At 34.3% G+C, this 25,710-nt stretch overlaps 1 protein-coding gene and 1 pseudogene across 17 annotated transcripts in view; one reads left to right on the top strand and one right to left on the bottom strand.

The window, feature by feature from the left end:
• Window positions 1-25,710, top strand: part of OXR1 (oxidation resistance 1) — a 482,517-nt gene that overhangs the window by 424,200 nt on the left and 32,607 nt on the right. For 15 of the 17 annotated variants that reach the window (XR_001745547.2, XR_007060735.1, NM_018002.3 and 12 more), the window contains 4 exons: window positions 8,529-8,713; window positions 12,005-12,768; window positions 16,245-16,413; window positions 19,446-19,608. Coding sequence is in view for 15 of the 17 variants with exons in the window: in NM_018002.3 (NP_060472.2) it covers window positions 8,529-8,713; window positions 12,005-12,768; window positions 16,245-16,413; window positions 19,446-19,608 (1,281 nt within the window). In the remaining 2 variants the exon portion in view is untranslated. The remainder of the gene's footprint in view (window positions 1-8,528; window positions 8,714-12,004; window positions 12,769-16,244; window positions 16,414-19,445; window positions 19,609-25,710) is intronic. The other 2 variants (XM_047421921.1, XM_047421922.1) reach the window with 1 other exon arrangement.
• TAGLN2P1 (transgelin 2 pseudogene 1) lies at window positions 2,850-3,718 on the bottom strand (annotated as a pseudogene).

The raw sequence follows: 25,710 nt of genomic DNA on the forward strand, positions 1-25,710 counted from the left end.
TGTTTTTGCCATACATTATATATTTATATATATATTTATATATATATTTAATATATATAAATATATTTTTATATATATTTGATATATAAATATATTTATATATATATTTGATATATAAATATGTTTTTATATATATTTGATATATAAATATGTTTATATATATTTGATATATAAATATGTTTATATATATTTGATATATAAATGTTTATATATATTTGATATATAAATATATGTTTATATATATTTGATATATAAATATATGTTTATATATATTTGATATATAAATATATGTTTATATATTTAATATATAAATATATGTTTATATATTTAATATATAAATATATTTTTATATATTTATATATATATTTATATATTAATATATATATTTAATAGATAAATACATATATATTTAATAGATAAATACATATATATTTAATAGATAAATACATTTATATATATAATATATATATTTAATATATAAATACATTTATATATAATATATATATTTAATAGATAAATATATTTATCTATTTACATATTTATATATATTTATATATATATAAATATAAAATATTTATATATATTTACATGTATATTATAATATATATCTTTAATATGTCACATTCTCACTTTAAGTAGCATTATATATGCCACTTTACATATAGTACACACACCTTACAACAGTATACTTTTATTTCCCCCTTCCAGCCTTTGTGTTCTTATCGTAACACCTCTTATTTCTACATGTTATAAACACAATTCATTGTTATTATTTTTGCTTTAAAAAGTTAATTTAAAATAATTTTTAAAATAAGGGTAAAGTCTATTATATTTATCCACTTACTTATTCCCTACACTTGTCATTCCTTTTTTATAGTTGCAGATTTCCATTTGTATCATTTTTCCTTTTATATAAGGACTTCTAAATTTCTTACAGTGTAGGTCAGCTAGTGATAAATTCTTTCAGTGTTTATTTGCCTTGAAAAAGTCTGTTTTTCCTTATTTTATTAAATGTTACTATCATGTTTATGTATATTTTCTTTTTTTTTTTTTTCTCCGAGACAGAGTCTCACTCTGTTGCCCAGGCTGGAGTGCGGTGGCCTGATCTCAGCTCACTGCAACTTCCGCCTCCCAGGTTCAAGCAATTCTCCTGCCTCAGCCTCCTGAGTAGCTGGGACTACAGGCACATGCCACCACGTCTGGCTAATTTTTGTATTTTTTTAGTAGAGAGGGGGTTTTACCATGTTGGCCAGGCTGGTCTCGAACTGCTGACCTCGTGATCCGCCTGCTTCAGCCTCCCAAAGTGCTGGGGTTACAGGCGTGAGCTACCGCACCCGGCACGTTTATGTACATTTTCAAAATTATATGTGTGTTTATAAAAAAGGATCCCTAACTTTTAAATTTTATGCCACTTTATCTTTTTTTGGTCCATTGAATTTTTTTTAATTAATATACTTTCATTTTTAGAGCAGTTTTAAATGGACGGAAGAATTGAGCAGAAATTAGAATTCATATTTATACTCTCCCCCTTTCCCCAGTTTCCCTTATTAACATCTTGCTTTTGTGTGCTATATTTGTTTCAATCAATGAAGCAGTATTCAGGCACCAAGGAAAGCCCATAAGATTCTCTCTTGTACATTCTGTGGGCTATAACAAATGTATAGTGACATTTATCTATCATTACAGTATTACCAGATTAGTTTCATTGGGCTGAAAATCCTCTATGCACCACCTGTTCATCCCTCCTTCCCTTTCTTTCCCTGAACTCCTGATAATTAATGGTCGTCTTACTCTCTCTGTAGTTTTGCCTTTTTTTAGAGTGTCATATAGTTGGAATCATAGAGTATGATTGAATGAATTCATATTGGCTTCTTTCACTTAGCAATGTGTGTTTAAGATTCCTCCATGTCTTTTGCGGATTGACACCTTAATTCTTTTTACTAATATTACTGAATATTCCACTGAGTGGATGTACTGTAGTTTATCCATTCCACTATTAAATGACATCTTGATCACTCTTAAGTTTTGGCACTTGTAAATGAAGCTACTTTAAACATTCATGTGCAGGTTTTGTGTGGTAAGTTTTCATCTCAGGTAAAATATCAAGAATCATGATTACTGGATGGTATGGTAAGACCATTGTTAGCTTAGTAAGAAACTGAAGAACTCTCCTCCAAAGGACCTGTGCTATTTTGTATCCAATAAGCAATGGGAATCCCTATTCCACAGCCTCACCAGCATTTGATGTTTTCAGTGTTTTAGACTTCAGCCGTTCTAATAGATCCGTAGTGGTAATATCTCACTGTGTTAATTAGAAATTCTCTAATGGCATATTATATTAAGCGTCTTTTTTTTTTCCTATTCAGAAATGACAAATTCTTTAAATCGACAAACTCATCTTCCTCAAGCCCCAGACCATGGTAGGCAGCCCTCCCTCTCCGTCCCCTCACCCCACCCCTTAGCCACAGTGAAGGGAATGGAAAATGAGAAGCCATGAGGGCCTCTGCCAGGGAAGGCTGCCCCAGATGTGTGGTGAGCACAGTCAGTGCAGCTGTGGCTGGGGCAGCAGCTGCCACAGGCTCCTCCCTATAAATTAAGTTCCTGCAGCCACAGCTGTGGGAGAAGCATACTTGTAGAAGCAAGGCCAGTCCAGCATCAGAAGGCAGAGGCAGCATCACTGACTCCCAGCCATGGAATGAACGGAGGGCACAGAGCTCAGAGACAGAACAGGCCAGGGGGAAAAAGGAGAGACAGAACAGGCCAGGGCATGGCGGTGAGGGACTGAGGCCCCTAAATTTTGATCCCAGGGGAAAAGAAGAGGCCAGTTGGTCCAGTTTTGATGGGTATGGGGAAGGGAATGTATTAGTAAGCACGGGGGAGAGGCTGCCAACAGGCACCTCAGAGGTGATAGGACAGGCTGAACCCCTCACCCTGACAGAAGGGAGCTTAAGAGCTCTGGGGCTCTCTGGGAATGTCACTGCTAAAATATATATCTACATGTATATTAACCACTCGTGGGAGGGCAGGGGCAAGGCCTGGGGTGGGATCAAAGGATCTGGTGTGGCATCCAGTAGCCAGTCATGCCTGCCTGAGATGCCCCCCATCTGTAGCCCGATCACGTTCTTGCCCTCTTGCAGCTGGTTATCCGAGAAGTTCCGAGGATTCTCCTTGGATTTCTTAGGGAACCAGTTGGGATCCCCAGAGAAGAGCCCATCATCCCAGGCTACTGCCAACCCACCCAGATTCCTCAGCGTCCGCTGCACACAGGCCATGTTCTTTCCTTCCCAGAGGTCCACAGTTTGGAAGATGTCAGTGGTGTTAATGCCATAGCGCTCAGCTGCTTGCAGGAACTGAGAGATCTTCTCCATCTGCTTGAAGGCCATGGTGGAGGCCTGGATCTTCTTTACTGGGACCTGCCCCTTGGGGTACAGTGCATTATTGAGCTCACATAACACCGTGCCATCCTTGAGCCAGTTCTGGAAGTTCTCGCGTCCAGGCTGGGACCGGCCCACATCCTTTCGGCACTGGGTGGTGATCCACTGGATCAGGATCTGCTCCAGATCTGCATCATACTGTTTCTCAATCTTCTGCTGCACCTCCTGGCTCAGGCCATAATGCAGGTCCCCTGTTGGCCATTCCAATGGGTGGCGGTGGCTGCGGGGAGCGTTCAAACGGGCTGGAGAGCGGCACACTCACTCAAGGCAATGGCTGCAGCTGCCGAGCTTCTTCTTACATGCTTATTTTCTACCCAGATATCCTCTTCATTTTCAAAGGATATTTTCACTAGACAGAATTTTCAGTTGATGAGGTTTTATTTCTTTTCAGAACTTTAAAAATTTACTCCATTGTTTTCTGGCTTGTGTTTTTCTAAAGTGAAGTCTTGCATTATTTTTATGTTTGGTGTTCTGTTAAAAAATGTGTCTATCTTTGGTTGCACTTAAGATGTTCTATTTATCACTGATTTTGAGCAATTTTATTAGGATGTGCCCTGGTATATTTTTTTCTATTTGTTTTGCTGGGGGTTCCTTTAGCTTGGTTCTGTAGGTTTATAGTTCATGCCAAATTTGGAAAATATTTGACCAGATTTCTTCCAATATTTTTTGCCTCCCATCCTCTCTTTCCTCTTCTTTGGGAACTCCAATTCTGCATATTTTAGGCTACTTAACATTGGGTCTCACAGCTCCCTCATACTCCATTCACTTTTTTCCTTCTCTTTTCATTTTGGATAATTTTAATTGCTTGTTTTTAAATTCACCAATTTTTTTTCTGCCATGGCTAATCTACTCTTAATCCTATCCAGCATATTTCATCTCACACATTGCAATTTTTCTCCCTGTAAGTTCATACTGGGTCCCTTATATTTTCCATATCCATACTGTGTATAATCTTCTATATTGTTGAATATGGTTATAATAATTGTTTTAACGTCTTTTTTTTTGTACTCTGTTACTTCTGGGTCTGTTTGCGTTTATTGATTTTTCTCTTTAATGTGGTTCATTTTTTTCTGTTTATTTACATGCCTGGTAATTTTTGATTGGCTACCAGACATCATGAATTTTATGTAATTGGATACTGAATATTTTTGTATTCCTACATATATTCTTGCACTTTTTATCTGGGACACAGTTATTTCTTGATCCTATTGTGGCTTTTATTTCTTTGATGATCACTTGGTAATGGCTTGTTCATAAGTTTTGTTAGGACCAGAATAGCCTTTAGTGTGTAGCTAATTTTTCTCCTTACTAAGACAATAATACACTTGTAAGTATTCTGAGGCTTTGTAAATACAAGATTTTTTTTTGCTTTAATGTTTAGTGAGAACACGAACTATTCTTACTGTGTGGGCGCTGACTATTGATTCTTCTGCTCCTTTCAAGTACTCTCTTCTTATCGTTGGATAGCTGCGATACATGTAGGTGGTAATCAGTACTCAGTTCAAAGCTGGAAGGGAACCCTTTGTAGACCTCTAAAGCTTTCTCACTGGACAGTGCTCATTTCTGGGTTGTTTGTTTGTTTTGCTTGTTTTTTCTCTGCCTGTGGACTGGAAACTTTCTCCACTCAGTATGCTTCGGTAATCAAAGAGCTGATCTTATGTGTTTCTCCTTATTCAGGTATCATTGCCTAGCATTCCGGTGTCTGAAAATATTATGTCACATATTTTGTTCGTGTAAGTTTGGTGTGTGTATGCATGTGTGTGTTTATTGTAGTTTTAGGCAGCATTAGTTCTTGACTAGAAGCAGAAGTTCATTTGATATCTGAATAAAAATTTTATTTAAAGATCAAAGCAAAGATAAGGTCATTGGCAGGATTAGGAATGATCTGCAGCCTAGTGTTTTTGGAACGTAATCCCTTGTTATAGGCTGGCTCTGTGCATTCTGCTGCACAAAAGGAGATAAGCAGGAAGTGGTGCTTTCTCATGGAAGTCGTTTTTTCTTTTTTCATCTTCCTACAAGTTGATTATACAAAAGATTATTTATGTAACAATTATGGAAACTTATTAACAATAACTATAATGGCTAAGTTATTGTGGATGTAAGACTGAAAAAATATCAGTACAAGCTTTTCTCTTTGCTAGGATGGATTCCCAATTATAATGATTTTATCTCTTAGTATTTGCAGAAATATTGTAATGTAAGTGGTAATTTTTCTTTTGCAGATAGACTTTATTTTTTTTACTTTATTTTCTAATAGAAATAATTTCTCTTTAGAAGATTAGTCAGGTAATTGCACGTAAGGAAATGGAAGTTGTTAATACAAAAGAATAATCTGTGCTTAAAGTTTCTGAAGTTCATGTGGATTAAGTAGATACTTTAATTGAAAACGTCTTGCTCATAATAGTCTTAATATAATCCTGATAATATGTAGGAGTTATGAAATATTTTAAAAATAATGAGATGGGAGTGCTTTGGTATAAGCTTATGATTTTCAACTTGATCAAATGAATTTGAGAATTTACTTTTTCAAGACATTTTCATGAATTTTATGTTGAAGAAATGTTTCTCTTGGCAAACTCTTGATTTATGGAGAATGATGTCTAACAGATTACCGCAGAAAGCCCCAGCTGTATGGGAACTTTGAGTGTGTAGCAGAGGGAAAGAAACTTAAAGAATATATCAGTGTGTCTTTTTAGTAATAGCACATAAGGGAGATTCCTGGAAAGTAACATTAGCAGATTGATCAGTCTAGTGGGTAGGACTTCAAACTCTTTCTAATCCAAAAAGTAGACTCATGGTTTTGAGATGCTTTTCAAATGATTTGTATAGTTACAGTACTAGGATTAAGGTATTAAGGTATATAGAGAATTAAAAGCATTATCAGTATACTGAGGCTTTTCTGTCATACATAGCTAGTTATCACTGTCTTTGTGAAAATCTTCCTAAAAGATAAAATGTAGTATTATGCTAGTGAACCAAATAATTGGTTAAAACTAATGCAAAAGTGAAATTTATGAAATGGAGAGTAACCTGAAGTGTTTCAGAGAATTTAGAGCTTGATTTTTTTTTTATTTCTAGTTGATTGCTTGGTTTCCTTTCTCAAATAAGTTTACAGAAGATGGGAGAGAGAAAGTTATGAAAGATCAGAAACCTTTAAAGTTGTTTTTTTTTAATATCAAATATACTCTATCCTTGATTATCTACATCTTGGATTATCCTAGACAATGTAAATGTTCTCTACAATGTACTTTACCATCTCTCATTGACTTGAGTTGGTATGTGACCCAGGAATACAAACTGATGTGTATGGATCTCATTAAAATATTAATTGAAAGAGAAATAGGCTGTAGTTTATATAAAGTTACTCCTTATTTAGGTGGTCCACGTCCTCAACTAAAAGAGGTGCTATTCAGAGTTTCATATGGATTCCCTCTCCCTCACCAAACTGCACACACACATATACTCTTCTCTCCAATATTGTGTGCATTAACTGTATGTGATCTTGAACATCCGCAGTAACTTTTTTTCACTTGTGATTGGATGACCATTTTCTGTAGATTTACTTTTTATTTTATCATTTTTAAAAGCAATATCTGCCATAACTTAATTTTTATATTCTTAAAGTTGAACCAGGTGAATTCACAGAGCTGAATATGGACTTGGGAGGAGGATGTGATGCCAAATCAATCAGGATTTGAGTTTTTCTTTTTCTTTGGATAAGAAGCTATTTAGTTTATTTTTAAAATTCTTTCTGGCTCTTCATTTTTACAGTTACAGGATATATAGTGGACTGAAAATTTGAAAATGAAATTAAGGAATGTTGCACCCTTGGAGTGATTATGGATTGTGACTTGGATACAGAGGAATTATATATAGCATAAAGCATGAACTAGCTGGACTTCAAATCCTAGCTGTTTAGGACAAGTTTCCAGGTGTTTCTCACCATTAGTTTCTCTATCAGTAAAATGGAAATGGTTTTACCCATCTCAGAGCTATGATTGTGAAGATCAAATAAGCAATATGCATATAAAGCATGGTACATATAAAGTATTCAATAAATATTCATGTTAGTATGATCAGCTGCCTGTGGACCCTAGTTTGCTCATTTATAAAGTAAGAAGGTTAAACTTTTAAGATTTGTATCACTATTTATTTATTTATTTGTTTTATTTTTTTGAGATGGAGTCTCACTCTGTTGCCCAGGCTGGAGTGCAGTGGTGTGATTTCAGCTCACTGCAACCTCTGCCTCATGGGTTCAAGCGATTTGCATGCCTAAGCCTCCCAAGTAGCTGGGATTACAGGCACATGCCACCAGGCCCAGCTAGTTTGTGTTTTTCAGTAGAGATGGGGTTTCACCATGTTGGCCAGGAACTCCTGGCCTCAAGTGATCCACCCACTTTGGCCTCCCAAAGTGCTGGGATTACAGGCGTAAGCCACCGTGCCTGCCCTGTATCACTATTTATATAAATATATTTAAAATTTTATAGCTTTTCATGGTGAGTTAAAAGTATATATACACTATATACTTTAGATGTCATATAATCTACTTAATTTTACAGATGAAGAAATAAGCCCAGAGACTCCTTGCCCAAGGTCACAAATCTAGGTAGTAGTAGAGTCAAGTGGAAACAGATTTTTTAAAGAGATGTTTTAAAGATATTATACTCTTTTCCTTTTATAATATTATCAACATTATTTATTGAGTCTGCACTGTATACATGACACTGTATTTGGTACTTGTAGTGAGGGAATAACACAGGAAGCAGTATGCAAATTAACATAAAAGGTGGCGCTTCTTACCTTACTGAAGTTACCTTTCTGATATGAGGTAACTCAGTATTTTACTCAGTTTGCACATTTTATTTCCTTACTTGATTGTCTTTGGGGAAATATGATATTCTACCTCTCCTAAAGAGGAGAATTTACTGGGAAAACTTGGGTTTTAATAAAAATGGTTTCATGAGAATGCCACAGTTCCTGAGTGTACTATTTTTATATATGGCCTAACATCAGAAGAAAATTAGTAAAAATAGCTAGATAATTTTTGAAGTATCAACCTTGAGGATTAAATGTTACTTTCTTTTTTCACCTTAGGGCACAGTCAGTGGTGTGCTGCTAGTTACACCAAATAATATAATGTTTGATCCACATAAAAATGACCCTTTGGTTCAAGAGAATGGCTGTGAGGAATATGGCATCATGTGTCCAATGGAAGAGGTGATGTCAGCTGCAATGTACAAAGAAATTTTGGATAGCAAAATAAAGGAATCTTTACCCATGTAAGAGTGATATTTATATTCCTTTGCAACTTTATTGTATCTAGATAGTTGACCCTTGTCTAATACCTTAACTATTTTTACTAGTTTTCTTATAGCTGCCTTTTATTTTGTCAATAATGAAACGAAAATATATGCATTATTGAGAAGATTATTCTTAATTTGCACCTGGGATAGTTATGAATTATCTTAGATTTGTATTTGTGTATGTGGTCAGAGAACCAGATATTTGAAAAGTAACCTATAGTGCCCATTTAATTCAGTGTTTACCAGCCTTTTTATTCAGACACAGCTTCCAGTCTTCTAAATTACCCCTGTGAGCAATCACTGTTGGGATAATTTTCAAATTTCCCTTGGAAGTGACTGAAGAGCTGTGATTTGAGAGAGGCCACATGAGCAAAGAGCTGACATTGCTGTGGGCAAGACAGCTTTTTTTTTTTTAATTGATTGATTTATATGTTTGCAATCTTCTCTCCCAGTATAAAATACAGTGTAAAGTACAGGGAAGAAAACCCACAACTTGCTCAAATATAAAGAGTTAACTTTGGAATATACTGGTCAGAGGATTTGTGTGATATGTTAAGATAGCTGTGAGACTACAGTTTGGACACAGCTTTTGAAAGTAATATGCTTGTCCAAAGTAATGGCCAGAAAGAAAAGGAGGAATGGGAAATAAAAGGAGAAAAAGATAAAAGATAGGTATAAAAAGAAAGGAAGGAGAAGTAGCAAGGAAGGAAATTGATATGTACTAGGAAATAACCTCCTCATTCCTTCATACATGACTACCAACATTTTAAAATTGTCTTCACTTTAACTGATACTGATATTTATATCCCTGTATTAGCCCACAGGAATGATAGCTGTTTTAAAATTAACCCTTGTGGGGCAGAGCAACTTACAAAGGAAAAAAGGGACAAATTATTTTTGTTTCTGAGGAAGACTAAATGAATTGGTAGAATATCTGTGACAGAATAAAATCCTTTGCTCAAAAGTCTCCACTGTACCTTCCACCCAACAGATATTATTTTGACTTGGTAGACTAATCTTTAGAGCTGCAGATAATTCCTAGAAGGTGTTAGTATCCTCTGTATTAGTTATATTTGTAGATCATCATCCAAGGCCAGTTTCAGCAAATAAGGATTATTGGGAGGTGGATAATGGGATGAGACAAAGGTAAAAGAGTGAAGGATTACATTCAAAGAAGAGGAAGGATATATACATATATGGAGAGAGAGAGAGAGAGAGTCATTGGTGAGATTCTGTTGTCCTCCTTTTCTTTCTTTTTCTTTTTCTTTCTTTCTTCTTCTTTTTTTTTTTTTTTTTTTTTTTTTTTTTTTGAGATGGAGTCTCGCTCTATCACCCAGGCTGGAATGCAATAGCACGATCTGCAACATCCACCTCCTGGGTTCAAGCGGTTCTCCTGCCTTAGCCTTCCGAGTAGCTGAGAATACAGACACCTGCCACCACATCTGGCTAATTTTTGTATTTTTAGTAGAGACGGGGTTTCATCATGTTGGCCAGGTTGGTCTCGAACCCCTGACCTCAAGTGATACACTGGCGTAGGCCTGCCAAAGTGCTGAGATTATAGGTGTGAGCCACGATGCCTGGCTTTGTCCTTTTCCATTTGCAATATGGTACTTTGGGGTTCTCTTATTCTGAACAATCCATCACTGTTCTACAAGGATGCTGTATAGCTCTTCCCTTTCAAATCACTGTTTTGTCATTCATTGTCAGCTGGAAAGTGTCACCTGGATTTAAATATTTAAAGATATTTCTTCAGAAAGAAATATCTTTAAATTCTGCCTTATGGATTGATTAAAAACAATATTTGGCACAAAATTAGATAAATAAAACAAATGTATGCCAAAAATGAGGTATAAGATTTGATTGCTTTTCTTCTGTCTTATGCTCCTTGGGAGGTTGATTTCAAAGGTATTATTATGGTATTACATTCAACAGTAGTAACATCATTGACATAAATGTTTAGCCTTTCAGCATATTAAATCTGAAGAGTATAGCACTTTTCTAAATATATATCCTGTCACGTTTGTTATGTTTATCTCTTACCTAAGGGTCTTCTAATTCTTTAAATGTACAGATAAAATTTCTCAAAACTTTTGCCCGGTTCCAACACCCTATAGATGCAGTATGAGTGCATCACCAGTAGATGACACTATTGTATATTTAATAACAAACTAGATTCTTGTTTTTTTAAGATGAATCAGATACAAAGGCAGCAGAGATATTGACTTCAACTAATTAATACTTCAAAAATTTATCCATCCTAGTTATAGAAATTATGCATACTTGTTGCAGAAAAATTGGAAAATACTGAAAAGCGGAACAAGACAAAGAGTTACCCAGCTTCACCATTCAGAGATAGCCAATTATTTTTGTGTTGACTTACTTTACAATCTTTCCTTTTCAGCATATTTTACATGGTTCTCAAACTATGTATGTATAAATGTTAATGCTTTTTTCATTAAGAACTCATATAATTTTCATTTATCACAGACTTCTTGTAACCATCATTTTAAATTAGCAACTTACATTTCATGGTATAGAGGTTTACACTCCCTCTTTCCAGAACTTAACTTTTGAACATTAGTGTTTACATATACAAATGTCATTAAATCTGAAAGTCTAGACCCAGTTATGAACCATTCATTTGTCTAGTATCTAAACTTTTCACCTGAACAAGTTCTCTTAGAGGTATTAAAGAGTATAGTTGTTAGCCTGAAGATTTTCTCTATATACTTTTGCTTGAGTTTTATTCAGATTGGTTTTAAGCCTTACATTTGAGCCATATATTTTAATTTAAGCTCTATTTGAATGTAAATAAGCACTGTGTGTGTGTGTATATCTATGGAAATCAGTTTATTTTTACTTTATTGGGAGATTTAAAATTTTAATTAAACATTTCTCTGTGTTTATTTTCCATATTCCATCAGTGAGTAAATTTTAGTTTAGAATTACAGCTTTACCCAGGGTTTATGTCATCAAGTTCCCTTCAAGTGGATTACTTGCAAGGAAATCTTACTTTGATATTTCCTAAATATTAAGCAATTGATATAAAAGTTTGACTTAATTACTTGATTTATAGAATTACTTGGTCTATAAGGTTAATTATTTGGTCATATTGAATAAATCAGATTTTTTATATTCTTTGGAGATACGTGCTACATCCTTTTGTTAAAAAGTCTTTTTAGTGATACTAATTCTGTGTTCAGTGTGTGAAAAGTAAAATACCACAATTTTAAAAGTCTAATTATTTTTAATTTTGTTTAATGACAGAGATATAGATCAGCTATCAGGAAGGGACTTCTGCCATTCAAAGAAAATGACAGGAAGTAACACTGAGGAAATAGACTCAAGAATCCGAGATGCAGGTAATGATAGTGCCAGCACTGCTCCTAGGAGCACTGAGGAGTCTCTTTCTGAAGATGTGTTCACAGAATCAGAACTTTCCCCTATACGAGAGGAGCTTGTATCTTCAGATGAACTGCGACAAGATAAATCTTCTGGTGCGTCATCAGAATCTGTGCAAACTGTCAATCAGGCTGAAGTAGAAAGTCTGACAGTCAAATCAGAATCTACTGGTACTCCTGGTCACTTAAGATCTGATACTGAACATTCTACAAATGAAGTTGGGACTTTATGTCATAAAACTGATTTAAATAATCTTGAAATGGCCATTAAGGAAGATCAGATTGCAGATAACTTTCAAGGAATATCAGGTCCTAAAGAAGACAGCACAAGTATAAAAGGTAATTCAGACCAGGATTCTTTTCTTCATGAGAATTCGTTACACCAAGAAGAGAGTCAAAAAGAAAATATGCCTTGTGGGGAAACAGCAGAATTTAAACAAAAGCAAAGTGTTAACAAAGGAAAACAAGGAAAGGAGCAAAATCAGGACTCACAGACAGAGGCAGAAGAGCTACGCAAACTTTGGAAAACCCATACTATGCAACAAACTAAACAGCAAAGGGAAAATATTCAACAAGTGTCACAAAAAGAAGCTAAGCATAAAATTACATCTGCTGATGGACACATAGAAAGTAAGTGTTATAGAGTAAATGAAGTTAGTTCATCCAATTGTATGGTGTCTCCGTCTTTCCTCACTGACTCAAAAGCCGCTGTACCTTAGGGCAACCTGAAGGATAAGTGAGTGACCCTTGACCGGTGATTCTCTGGGGACAAGTATATACAGTCTCCAGTGTCTACTGTCTTTTCTTATCCCACAGGTGGATTGTACACATAATGAGCATCATTGCTACCCACCATGTTTAAACATTCTTGGCTCACTACATCGTATCATTAAACAATTTATTTCTTGAGAAATTGCACAAAAGCTGTATAATACCTTTGATCACTCCATTTTCTCTTAAAAAGTTTTTGGTGTGTTACCATTAAAAATGTCTTTTTTCATATATAACATTTTAATTGCCAAAGTTGTAATCCCATCTTTTATAAAATGTACAGTTAAACCTAAAAGTGTACTTACAGAATTCTTCCACGTATCGAGAAGTTTCATCATCATCATCTAATTATTTTCTTTTAAAAACCTGCCCTCAGGACAAATAAAAACACTATTTTATCTGTCAGTTTTCTGGTACTGTTTACTTCTGAAAATTACACTATTTTCAGTCTTTTATTTCTAATATACTGTGCTTCTGTTAATAAATTATGGGTTAAATGGGGTATAACAACTAACTTAGCTAACATTTCTGATATTCTATTAGAATGTTTATCCCAGACTAGTCCATTCACATGTGAACTTTTCTTTCATTTTTTAAATTCAAAGATTTTTGTTTTGCTGTAATACATAAAATAAAATTTACCATTTAACTTTTTAAAATTATGGTAAAATGTAACGTAAATATATTATTTGAAGCATTTTTATATCTACAATGCAGTGGCATTAGTACATTCACATTGTTATGCAGATCATCACTACTGTCCATTTCCAGAGCTTTTTTCATCTTCTAAAACTGAAACTCTGTACCCCTTAAACAATAAGTTGGCCAGGCATGGTGGCTCACTCCTGTAATCCTATCACTTTGGGAGGCTGAGGCAGGCAGATTGCTTGAACCTAGGAGTTGGAGAACAGCTTGGGCACCATGGCAAAACCCTGTTTCTACAAAAAAAAATTACAAAAATTCGTCAGACATGGTGATGGTGCACACCTGTAGGCCCAACTACTCGGGAGACTAAGATGGGAGAATTGATTGAACCCAGGAGGTCGAGGCTGCTATGAGCCATGATCATGCCACTGCACTCCAGCCTGAGCAACAGAGCAAGATGCTGTCTCAAACAAAAAAATAAAAAACAAAAACCAGTAACTTGCTTTTCTCCCTTCCTCATAGCTTTTGGCAACCAACATTCTACTTTGTTTCTGAATTTAACTACTCTAGATACTTCATGTGAGTGGAGTCATACAATATTTATCCATTGATGTTTGGCTTATTTCACTTGACATAATGCCTTCAAAGTTCATTTATTCTGTAATATGTGTCAGAATTTCCTATCTTTTTAAGGCTGAATAATATTCCATTGTATGTGTGTACATTTTGTCTGTTCATTTGTTGCTGGACATTTTGGTTGTTTCAACCTTTTGGCTATTGTGAATAATGCTGCTTTGAACATTAGTGTACAAATATCTGTTTGAATCCCTCCTTTGAGTTTTTTTTGGGTATATTCCCAGAGTGGAATTCTGGATCATGTGGTAACTCTATGTTTAATTTCTTGAGGAACCTCCGTACTGTTTTCCATAGTGGCTGCACCATTTTACCTTCCCTGCGGCAGTACACAAGATTTGGGTCAGTTTTTAAAATACCGAATTTTCTTTTCATCATGCAGTTGAGATATCCTGAAGACCTAAGGGCTGTGTTCAGTAGATATTAAAATAATTCATATATTAATACTTGAACCAAGTTCTATAAAAGATTTAATATTTTTCTTCTGTAATATTTTTTTAATTCAAAACTAATGCATGTTCAGTAAAGAACATTTGGCAAACATAGGAAGATTCTAGAAAATTTATAAAAATCTTCTGGAATTCATCACCCAGAGATGATCATTGTTAACATTCAATATATCTGTCTTTCTTATAGAACAAAATCATATGTGTTAATTTGTTATTTACATCAAATCAAGATTATACTATACTGTTGTATCCTGCTTTTTTATGTCATGAACCTTTTCCTATGTGATTACAGTTCTTTGAAAACATGGCTTTAAAGGCCCTAAAATTTATTTAACCATTTGCTTATTAAGACATCCAGTTGTTATTAACGATCTGTATTGTTAAGACATTTTAAAGAATGCTGCCCAGCATTCTTCAAAACATCAAAGACAGAAAATGCATCTGATAGTTATCTTATATTTTGAAGATCTTTGACTGCATCTTTGACTACATCTGATAGTTACCTTATATTATAAAACCTTTGAAAAAGATAAAATAATCTGTTTAAGCTGATGATGTGGTGGACCAATTTTGTTGTGGGGGTTGGGGGTTTAATGGGGTTAGGGGAGGTTATTATAACCAAATATTAAAAGGACAAAAATTGATAGATGTTTTTAAACAGTCATCTCTAAACTGTTACCATTTGGTTTCTTCTTTTTTTGGAATAATTAGTTTTAAGTAATTTTAAGTTACTTAATATTCTGTAATAGAGAAATATTCAAACTTTCTGATCTTTATGACTTTATAATAAAATTATGTAATAAATATAAAAGTGTCTAGTCCAATTATGAGAAGAATGGTGAAAGCTCATCGTTTTAACCACATGAAAATAGTGGGGTTCCCATAGATTATCTACCTTGTGTAATACTGCACAGAAAAAGCCATGATGAGTACCCAGGTCTCCTGACTATAAGTGCTATTTCCTCCAGTGTGCTGCCTTGGTAAGCTAATCAATGTCTGGGTTCCTAAATTCACCTATATATTCAGACCCTCAGTATACTCTATCAGCACCTCTGGTTGAAAGAGTTAGAACTAATTCGTTCTTAATTAACTGTCCAAACAGGTGGCAGAATCTAACATATTATTGACTGTTTTATTACAATTTTGTATACATGTAAAAGCATTAGAAACTTCATTAAATTTTTGTCTGAAACAACCATGTTAAGTATACCTTTAAAACTTCTACAGTTATTTAGATGTCATTCAAAAAGACTGATAGAGAATATGTAGAAAATTATATATATATTATGTGTGTGTATATATATATGATTGCTTTAGTATGGGTGTTGAAAATGTAACAATGTTTCTGAAACTTTTACTTTTTTTCTTAATGTCCTTAGACATAATTTTTATTCATTAACTTGGCTCTTTTGTTAAGTTTAGTCATGTTGTATCTGTGACTTTACCTTTGAAGGAAAAAAAATATAAATTAAGAAAATGTACTTTAGCACCACTAAAGTGAGGTTTTATTCTGTAACTATTTGTCAGAATTTTGAAGGTAAAGTTAACTAAACTACCTAAACTTGGTGTGTGAGAATTGAATAAACACTGTTTGCATCTCAATTCTAGGTTCTGCACTTTTAAAAGAAAAGCAAAGGCATCGATTACATAAGTTCTTGTGTCTCAGAGTTGGAAAACCAATGAGGAAAACGTTTGTATCTCAAGCAAGTGCTACAATGCAACAGTATGCACAGAGAGATAAGAAACATGAATATTGGTTTGCTGTGCCACAAGAAAGGTAAAAAACCCATACGACACCTTGAGAGCATTATTGAGATTCTTTGAACTAAAATTATTTTGTGTGTCAAAATACCAATGATAAACTATTGAAACATAGTTTATGATTAAAAGCAGACAATAAGTCTATTTGAAACCATTTTGCCCCTACTTTATAATTTGCCCCATTTTTAATTGCATTCCCTTTTGTAGTTTATTATTTAAAAATGTGAACAAATATCCAATTTGGGTAGTAAAGAGACTTAAGATACCTTGGAGCAAGAAGATTCATCAAAATATTATTTGATATAGCTCCTTCCTGAAGGCAGCTAATGGTGTATAATTCCTTTATATTAAAAATTCTTCAAATATTCATTAAATATCTTCTATATACGTGACACTAAATTAGCTACTAAAAGGATGTAGTGGTCTTCACAATATTTGTGTGTACCCTTTGCACAATTAGATTTTTCATCATAAGTTTTAAGCGGTTGTAAAAGATGTCTATTGTACTATCTTGTCAATTTTTACATTTTAAGTAAATAGTGTTACTTATACCCAGTAGAACTGAAACATTATAACAACTTTCCCTGTACTATTATTCACTTAAAATTACTTTAACAGTTAGACATTGCATCATTACTTTTTCTCTTTAAACTTCTATTTCCATAATACCACCTCACACAAACTCATTACAACGTACTATATTTTTATCCCCATTATAGTTCTTTGCAACAAACTACATATACTTAACACATTTACATATCTGTGTGTGTATATTGAAATTGCATTTATTTTAACATTTTCTGTGACTTTTGTAAAAACAGTAAAGGGTTTAAGGTTTTAGGCTACCTGCAAGCCAACAACTTAGTCTGCCTCCATTTGGTGCATGCTGGGAGAAAGCACAAACATCTGTACAACAGCAGTAATCAGAACATCAGCAATTGTGTGATTTCTCTGTACCTCCTTTCCTACAAAGGATGTGAAAAAGGCCAAGTGACAGCTGCACATACCTGGGGTTATTTTACAGAAGAGGAACCATAAGTTTAGGGAACCTGAATTTTTATAACAGACAGTAAGCATGGTTACCCTTTGCTAGACAGTAAGATACTATCTCTACTTCTAAGATAATGCTACACTAACATACTTGAAAAGATACTGCTGAGCAAAGGTATTACACATAAAAAGTAAAATATCATAGGAAATGCCTGTCTTAAGGAGATAGATAGACCTTTCCTATATCCATTGATAGATTAATATGTTTCATTGAAAGGATGAGATAGGACTCAGCATCAGTTCTGCCTCTCCCTTTTATTTTTCTTTATAAGTACTGAGAAGCTTTGTTCATAGAAAAGTCAGTGAGACTGAAGAGAGTTTCATTTTAATAATGTCATTCAATTATTTAAACTTGTTTCTATATAATTCCAAAAATTAATCATTTTTGTCACAATATTTTTAGTGATCATCAGTGGACAACTCCATTGAAAACTCCTTCAGTTTTGCGGAAATCAATTAATGAGAAACAACCTGACATACAGAAGGACTTATTACCCAGTCTTTATAATCATTTCCTGTCTCAACACCAATCTTGGGCAGCCTAAAAGTTTTTATACTGTAGGGCATATCCCATTGTAAATTCTGAGTAGGTGAAGATATGCCCTTCTTTTATAAATTAGAAAAAGTGCTTTAGTGAAAGCAGATAACAGGAAATCTGTAAAATATCTTGACCATACTGTTTTTAGGCAGATTATTATGAGCAAAGAGTAACATATGGAAATTGGAGATACGCGAATTGATTCCCTTAGCACCATCTTACACGTTTGTGTACCTCTTGGAAAATCTTTATATGTTGCTTTGGAAGACTACAGCTTTTAGGCATAAAATGATAATGCTCTTTTCCCTTTTCCCACTCCACCATATATAGAGTAAGTACAATGTGTGTCTTCCACAACATTGGCTTAATCTTAAAATATGATTTGCATAATTGATGAATACCTGAAAGGGACAGAGCCTGATATTCAAACGTTCCAGTGATGTTGAAATCACTACAATGAGAAATGTAACTATATTTAGTTAAAATGGACATAAAAATTTAGTTTTTCTCATTATTCTTGGTTTTAATGTTTACATGGAATTCCCTATTTTAATATTCATTCTTTTATCTTGGTTAATATTCATTACAAATTAGTATTATTAGGATTCTGATCTTTATTGTAGACATAAAACTTAGGAAAACTGCTGCATAGATAGTGAGAAATTGATAAAAAGGTAAGATGTTACATTGAAAGATAAAATGTAGCACCTTTTAAATATGTTAGCTGCCACGTAAAGAATGGCAATTTTAAAAATCATTATATTGAAAATATAATTTCTAGAACCATGGTTATTAACTGGTATATGTTAGCTGAAAGTTATATAATCAATTTTCAAAAACATGTTAATTAAAACCAATAAAACGTAGATATTTGAAATGTGTGTGTGACTCTCAAATACATTTATCAGGGAATGTAACAACTGGCTTTAGTGTAGTAAACAAAACATTGAAAAGGGGAACCTGAGATTTCTAAGATTAGATCATCTGTCTCTCAACACTGTATGTTCCTAGTATCATTTAAAATTTAAGGACATTACATTTCTATTAACTTGGAAAATTGTATATAATGTCTCAAAATAGGCCATTAATAAATTGTTTACTTGTATTTTAGATCATTAGATTATTGTAGGAATGAGGTCAAAGTTGTGTATCTAATTTCCTTTTCCATCACTAGTGTCTTTAAAGAAGAAAAGCTTTATAATATACAACATCTGAACTAGTCAAACACATGCCAAGGAAAATCTTAATTTGGTTTTCTAAAGAACAACCTGACAGAATATAGCCAAATAAAATGTTTAAGTTAATGCCTTCCTGATAGTAGACCTTTTATATTAATATAAAACAATATATTTTGTGTATATTTTAAGTCTTCAAGATTTATCAAGATATTTTACAAATATAATTTTTTAATTCTGGCAGCACAGAATACTAGGTATATTAATAGTCACTTCTCCTAACAGGACAGATCACTTGTATGCCTTCTTCATTCAGTGGAGTCCAGAAATATATGCAGAAGATACTGGCGAATATACCAGAGAACCTGGATTTATAGTAGTAAAAAAGATTGAGGAGTCTGAAACAATTGAGGATTCTAGTAATCAAGCAGCAGCCAGAGAATGGGAGGTAAGGAGAAAAATATGAAGATTTTAGTCATCTTTTTAGTTTGTATGAATTTATAGCTTTATGGTAGTACAAAGTATAAGTGATGTTTCCACAAAAGAGGAATTTTTTTAAAGGTCAGGTTCACTATCCGTGTTTATTTGTGGTTATTGAATGAATCTGAATAGTGACTTTAATACTATATTTGTCATTCTGCTTTTGCTTTAAAATACTAGAAAACCCACTAGCAATAAAATGACTTTTATTGAGTGTCTTATAGAATATTTAGTTTAGGAAAGATTAACATTATGGCAAAGAAGGAAATAATTTTAATTTTGCTGTTATATTAATTTTCATAAAACATCGATTTCACATCTGATTTGTTTTAATTTCATCTCCTCCATGGAGGAGGTACGGCAGTCATTTAACACATCTGTGCATAGTATTTGCATAGCATCTATACAAATTACTACTCCTTTCTATGTTTCAGACCTAAGCATTATCTTGACTTAAATTTTTCAATAATAATTTTAAGGAAATAAGCAGGTGCTAATTTTATAAAGTAGTAGAAATTTTATATGCTCAGATTTACTGAACTTGTTTAAATGGTCAAAGTTATACTAACAAACTTTTTGTAACTCCTCTTAGATATATCTTAAGATTACATATTACCTTTTACATGCTTTGTCTTATAAGGTTGGTAGGGTGGCAATATCTGTTGGTGTTGCCTAGATTAGTCTCTTCTTGATGCATTAGAAAATGTAGAGCAGATGCTAAAATGTTATAATAAATGTAATCAAATTTTTTTATTCATTGGGTGTTAATGTTTGTGGCTGTTAATGTGATATGAATGTATCTTGCATGCACTTAACATGTATAGTAATTGAAGGTATACATGGCTTGTCTTTTGTTTAAAATGCAAACTGATTTGGAATGTGTCTAATGTCATTCTGTGTAGTATATACAGCATCAGTTTCTACTGTGACTCCAATATAAGGGAGGGAAAGAAGAACATATCGACCATGTATTTTGGGTTATTTTAATACTTAAACCAACATTATCAATCTTCATACCAGCTTTATTCATAATGGCCCCAAATTGGAAAGTCTCATTAGCAGGAGAATGGATGAATACATTTTTGAATACTTACAGAATTCCAAATAACAATAAAAAAGATCTACTGGTACAGGCAATGACATGGATGAATTTTACAAATAATATGTTGAGTAAAAGAAGCCTGACACAAATGAACATATACTATGTAATTTCATTTACACGAAGTTCAAAAGGGCAAAACTAGTCAGAAATCCATCACACTACTTGATACTGGGCTGTGACAGGGTGGCTCAGGGACAGGAGGGAACTTTATTGCGTTCTGGGGATGTTCTATATGTTACTCTCAGTGGTGGTTACTTGGGTGATTACATATGTAAAATATATATAATATATATAATACGTATATAATATATATATGTATCTTATATATATATATATTATATACATCTATGTCCCTGAGCTGTGTTTTTAAGATTAGCTTTAGAAGGTACTTAAAATAGCCCAGGTGATCAAAGATACGTACCTAACTAAGGCAGCAACAGTTGAAGGTAGAGTGGAAGGTGATGAAATAAAGCTAGAAGAAAAGGTATTAGCTAGCTAATTACACAGGATTCAGTGACAACCTGGTAACCATAAAGTTATCTCCAGCTTGGGTGGCACGGTGGATGGCAGAATTGTCAGTCATGAACGGGAATTGAGAGCTTTCTCTCCATTGGGGTTGGAGTACTTAACTTTGGAAATAAGAGACTATTGACTATTTTGATTCAAAGGAACTGTCTCAGTTTCTGTGCAAGACTCTGCAGGGTATAATTTCTAAAGGAAAAATAAATCTCCTCACCAGTCCTTTGACCGGAATTGGTGCAGTTCAAAAGAAAATGGAAGAGAAAAAAATAATTTTGGAAACTCCTTGCTACATTGTCTGAAAATATTACCGCAGTATCCAGTATAGCAGCACTAGCCATATGTGGCTATTGAGTACTTGAAATTCATGTAATGCCACTAAGGGACTGCATTTTTAGTTTTAATTATTAATTAAAAACCGATACTTGGTTCCATTATTGGACAATTTTTAAATATATTAGGAATAACTTAGATATATGATCTACTTTTTCAACTGTAAATTTCATGAAATCTAAATATGATCTAAATCAGTCTAAATCTAATTAAGGTCAAGTATTTCCTATGAAAATTTAGTGCCTGAATTGAGATGTGCTGTAGTGTAAAATATTCTACTTCCTATAGCCACTAGCCACATGTAACCATTGAGCATTTAAAATGTGGCCAATCTCAATTGAAATGAGCTGTAGTATAAAATACACACTGGAGGCCGGGCGCGGTGGCTCACGCCTGTAATCCCAGCACTTTGGGAGGCCGAGGCGGGTGGATCATGAGGTCAGGAGATCGAGACCATCCTGGCTAACAAGGTGAAACCCCGTCTCTACTAAAAATACAAAAAATTAGCCGGGCGCGGTGGTGGGTGCCTGTAGTCCCAGCTACTCGGGAGGCTGAGGCAGGAGAATGGCGTGAACCCGGGAAGCGGAGCTTGCAGTGAGCCGAGATTGCGCCACTGCAGTCCGCAGTCCGGCCTGGGCGACAGAGCGAGACTCCGTCTCAAAAAAAAAAAAAAAAAAAAAAAAAAAAAAATACACACTGGATTTTAATGACTTAGAATGGAAAGAAAAAAGAATGTAAACATCTTGTTTGTTTATACTGATTAATATTGAAGTGATAATATTTTGAATACATTAGGTTAAATAAACTATATTAATACAATTAATTTCACTTTTTTAATGTGGTGTCTAGAAAATTTACAATTGTAATGTATCTTACATTATATTGCTCTTGTGCAGTGCAGGTCTATGCCTCATGGATACTAAGTGCCTAAAAAAATGTTTGTTAAACTAGGGAGGCCGAGGGTAACAAATAAAAAATGTTAAACTAGGGTGGATCACGAGGTCAGGAGTTTGAGACCAGCCTGGCCAATATGGTAAAACCCTGTCTCTACTAAAAATACAAAAATTAGCTGGACGTGGTAGCACACGCCTGTAGTCCCAGTTGCTCGGGAGGCTGAGGCAGGAGAATCACTTGAACCTGGGAGGCGGAGATTGCAGTGAGCCAAGATCACACCACTGCACTCCAGCCTGGGCAACAGAGTGAGACTCCATCTCAAAAAAAATAAATAAATAAAATAAAAATGTTTGTTAAACTAATGAGTACTCATTTAAGTGAAAGAGTAATTTTAAATGTTAACATGATTTATTTTAAAACAGGAAGAATTTGGCTAAAGCCCTTATATAAAACAGTAGTACTTCAGAATGTGCCGTGATGTTTTTTATTTTTTTGTTCTACAAAGGAATGGAGAATAGGTGTCCTAGAATTTAGGATGAACTTGTTATGGCTACCAACTTGGGCATCAGTTAGATTTAAACTAACACCTCTACTCACTGTTATTCTGCTTTAGTGATACTTAAAAAAGATCTTTATTATCCCTGACTGTTACTCAAGCAGAAATATATTGCTAGCCAGAAATGTATACATTGACTGGGGAAGTTTGTATATGATAAATTTGGTAAACTTATTGTTTGCTTTTTTCTCCCTTTCCCTATGTAAGTGTCATAAGGCAGGGATTTGTCAATTTCATACACTATTATATCTTCAGAACTAAGAATTGTATAGGCATATAGTTCATTCTCAATATTTATTAATGGATAAACTTGGGCGTAGATTAAAATTAAGGTATAAAGCTTCTAATCTTTCAAGATTGCTCTATTTCCTGAAATAAGTTCTTACATCAGTTGTAGTAAATATTTTCATAAAGCCATAGATTCTGGACATTTTAACTAATAGTCCACAGTCTGTCATTTACATTTTTTTTTGTTCTGTTTAAACATATTCAGTGAAAGGGAATTTGTTACCTCAAAGGGCAATACTTTACATTTTAGGACAGCTCTGTTAGAAAGTTATTTGTTACAATAAGCTTAAGGAAACATATCTTTGTAAATTGGATTCATTTATCTTTATTCTGTCTTCCAATGCAAGTCAATAACAACAAGAAACATTTTCTATTTACTGCGATAGTGTGAAAATGTTTGTCTTCCCTTTTAATCTTGTTTCAGAATTATTTTTTCCAGTACTTCAACTGTTTAACTTTATGAACTCTATTCAGATCTTATTCATATCAGTACCCTAAAATATGTTAAAAGAGTTCATAAACTATGGCACCCCAAATTACTAAAATGTACACTTGGGATAGCAGGAAAAATTCCGTAATATTTTTAAAAATTTTAATTTCCAAATATGAACATTGAAGACCAGTCCTATTGAAGACAGACAGAAACATATATTTACTAAGAAAAAGAAAATTTAGCCAAATTTTAAGGTGGTCAGGAGTAAAAGTTCCTAATGATAAATCAGTTCCTAAGTATTTGGATAAAGGATCTGAGAAATACTATTCTTACTGCTCACGATGTGTAAAGGACTGAATTTCCTCTTTTTGTAGTGTTACTTTGTATGCCACATGATAAAGAGTACTTTGGTGTGGGTCGGGCGTGGTGGCTCACGCCTGTAATCCCAGCACTTTGGGAGGCCGAGACAGGTGGATCACGAGGTCAGGAGATCGAGACCATCCTGGCTAACATGGTGAAACCCCGTCTCTACTAAAAATACAAAAAATTAGCCGGGCGTGGTGGCGGGCGCTTCTTGTTGTAGCTACTCGGGAGGCTGAGGCAGGAGAATGGCGTGAACCTGGGAGGTGGAGCGTGCAGTGAGCCAAGATCATGCCACTGCACTGCAGCCTGGGCGACAGAGCGAGACTCCACCTCAAAAAAAAAAAAAAGGAGCTATGCCTGAATTAATTGCGTCAACATGGCTGCTATTGATAAGAAAGCATGTTTTTAAACAATCAAGGCACAAAATGATTAAGGAAACCTTTCTTCATAGTGAACCAAACTTATGTTTTTGGTGTGATACCCAAATAAAAGAAATATGCATTATGAGTCTTGCTTTTGGGGATCTGATAACCTTATTTGATAACTGAGAAGGAACTACTTATTACAGTCTTTCCCCTGATTTCTGCCGGTATTCAACACAGGAAGTCAATAAGTATATCCAGTGTTGTGAGGATACTGTTTGATGTGGGGCTTTGCAGTTCTGTGATAAATATTACTTTCTGTTTTTTGATACAGATTTTTTATGCCTTTTCACTGAAAAGGGAAGTGCTCTAATGGCATTTTAACAAATTGTCAGGCAAGTCCTGAGGTGAAGATGAGGCAGAATGCCTATTGACATCTGCTATTTCGTGATGATCGCACTTTTGTTCAATAAATATACAAAAATAAAAGATTAATAGTAAAACAAATTCACATGTGCCATTCAGCTTCATCAGCTTATTTCTTCTGTGTCCCTCCTTTTCTCCAATTGTTCATAGTTATTCAAATGTCATAAAAATATTTAGAATACATGTAATATGTACAGTATGTATTTTTACAATTTGTTTTTTGAGTCATGATCCAACTAAGTTCTCAAATGCTGCAGTTAGTTAAAATATCTCTTAAGTCTCTCTAAATGTAGGTTCCTCCTCCATTGCTTTGCTTTGCTTTTTTATTTCAGTTTTTAAGAAATCAGATTTTTTTTCTGTAGAATGTCACACAGTCTGGAATATGCTGTTTGCATCCCCATAGTGTCTGTTAACATGTTATTCTACCACTTGAATGATTGATAGATCTAGAGCAATACACTTAAGTATAGATTATCATCTTTATTTTACAGATAATTTCTTTGTATTTTTTTATTTATTTTATTTTTTTTGAGATGGAGTCTCCGTCTGTCGCTCAGGCTGGAGTGCAGTGGCGTCATCTTGGCTCACTGCAAGCTCCGCCTCCTGGATTCACGCCATTCTCCTGCCTCAGCTTCCCGAGCAGCTGGGACTACAGGCGCCCGCCACCACGCCCGGCTAATTTTTTTGTATTTTTAGTAGAGACGGAGTTTCATCGTGTTAGCTAGGATGGTCTCAATCTCCTGCCCTCATGATCCGCCTGCCTTGGCCTCCCAAAGTGCTGGGATTACAGGCGT

This window comes from Homo sapiens, chromosome 8 (genome assembly GCF_000001405.40).
Source record: "Homo sapiens chromosome 8, GRCh38.p14 Primary Assembly".
Classification (NCBI taxonomy): domain Eukaryota; kingdom Metazoa; phylum Chordata; class Mammalia; order Primates; family Hominidae; genus Homo; species Homo sapiens.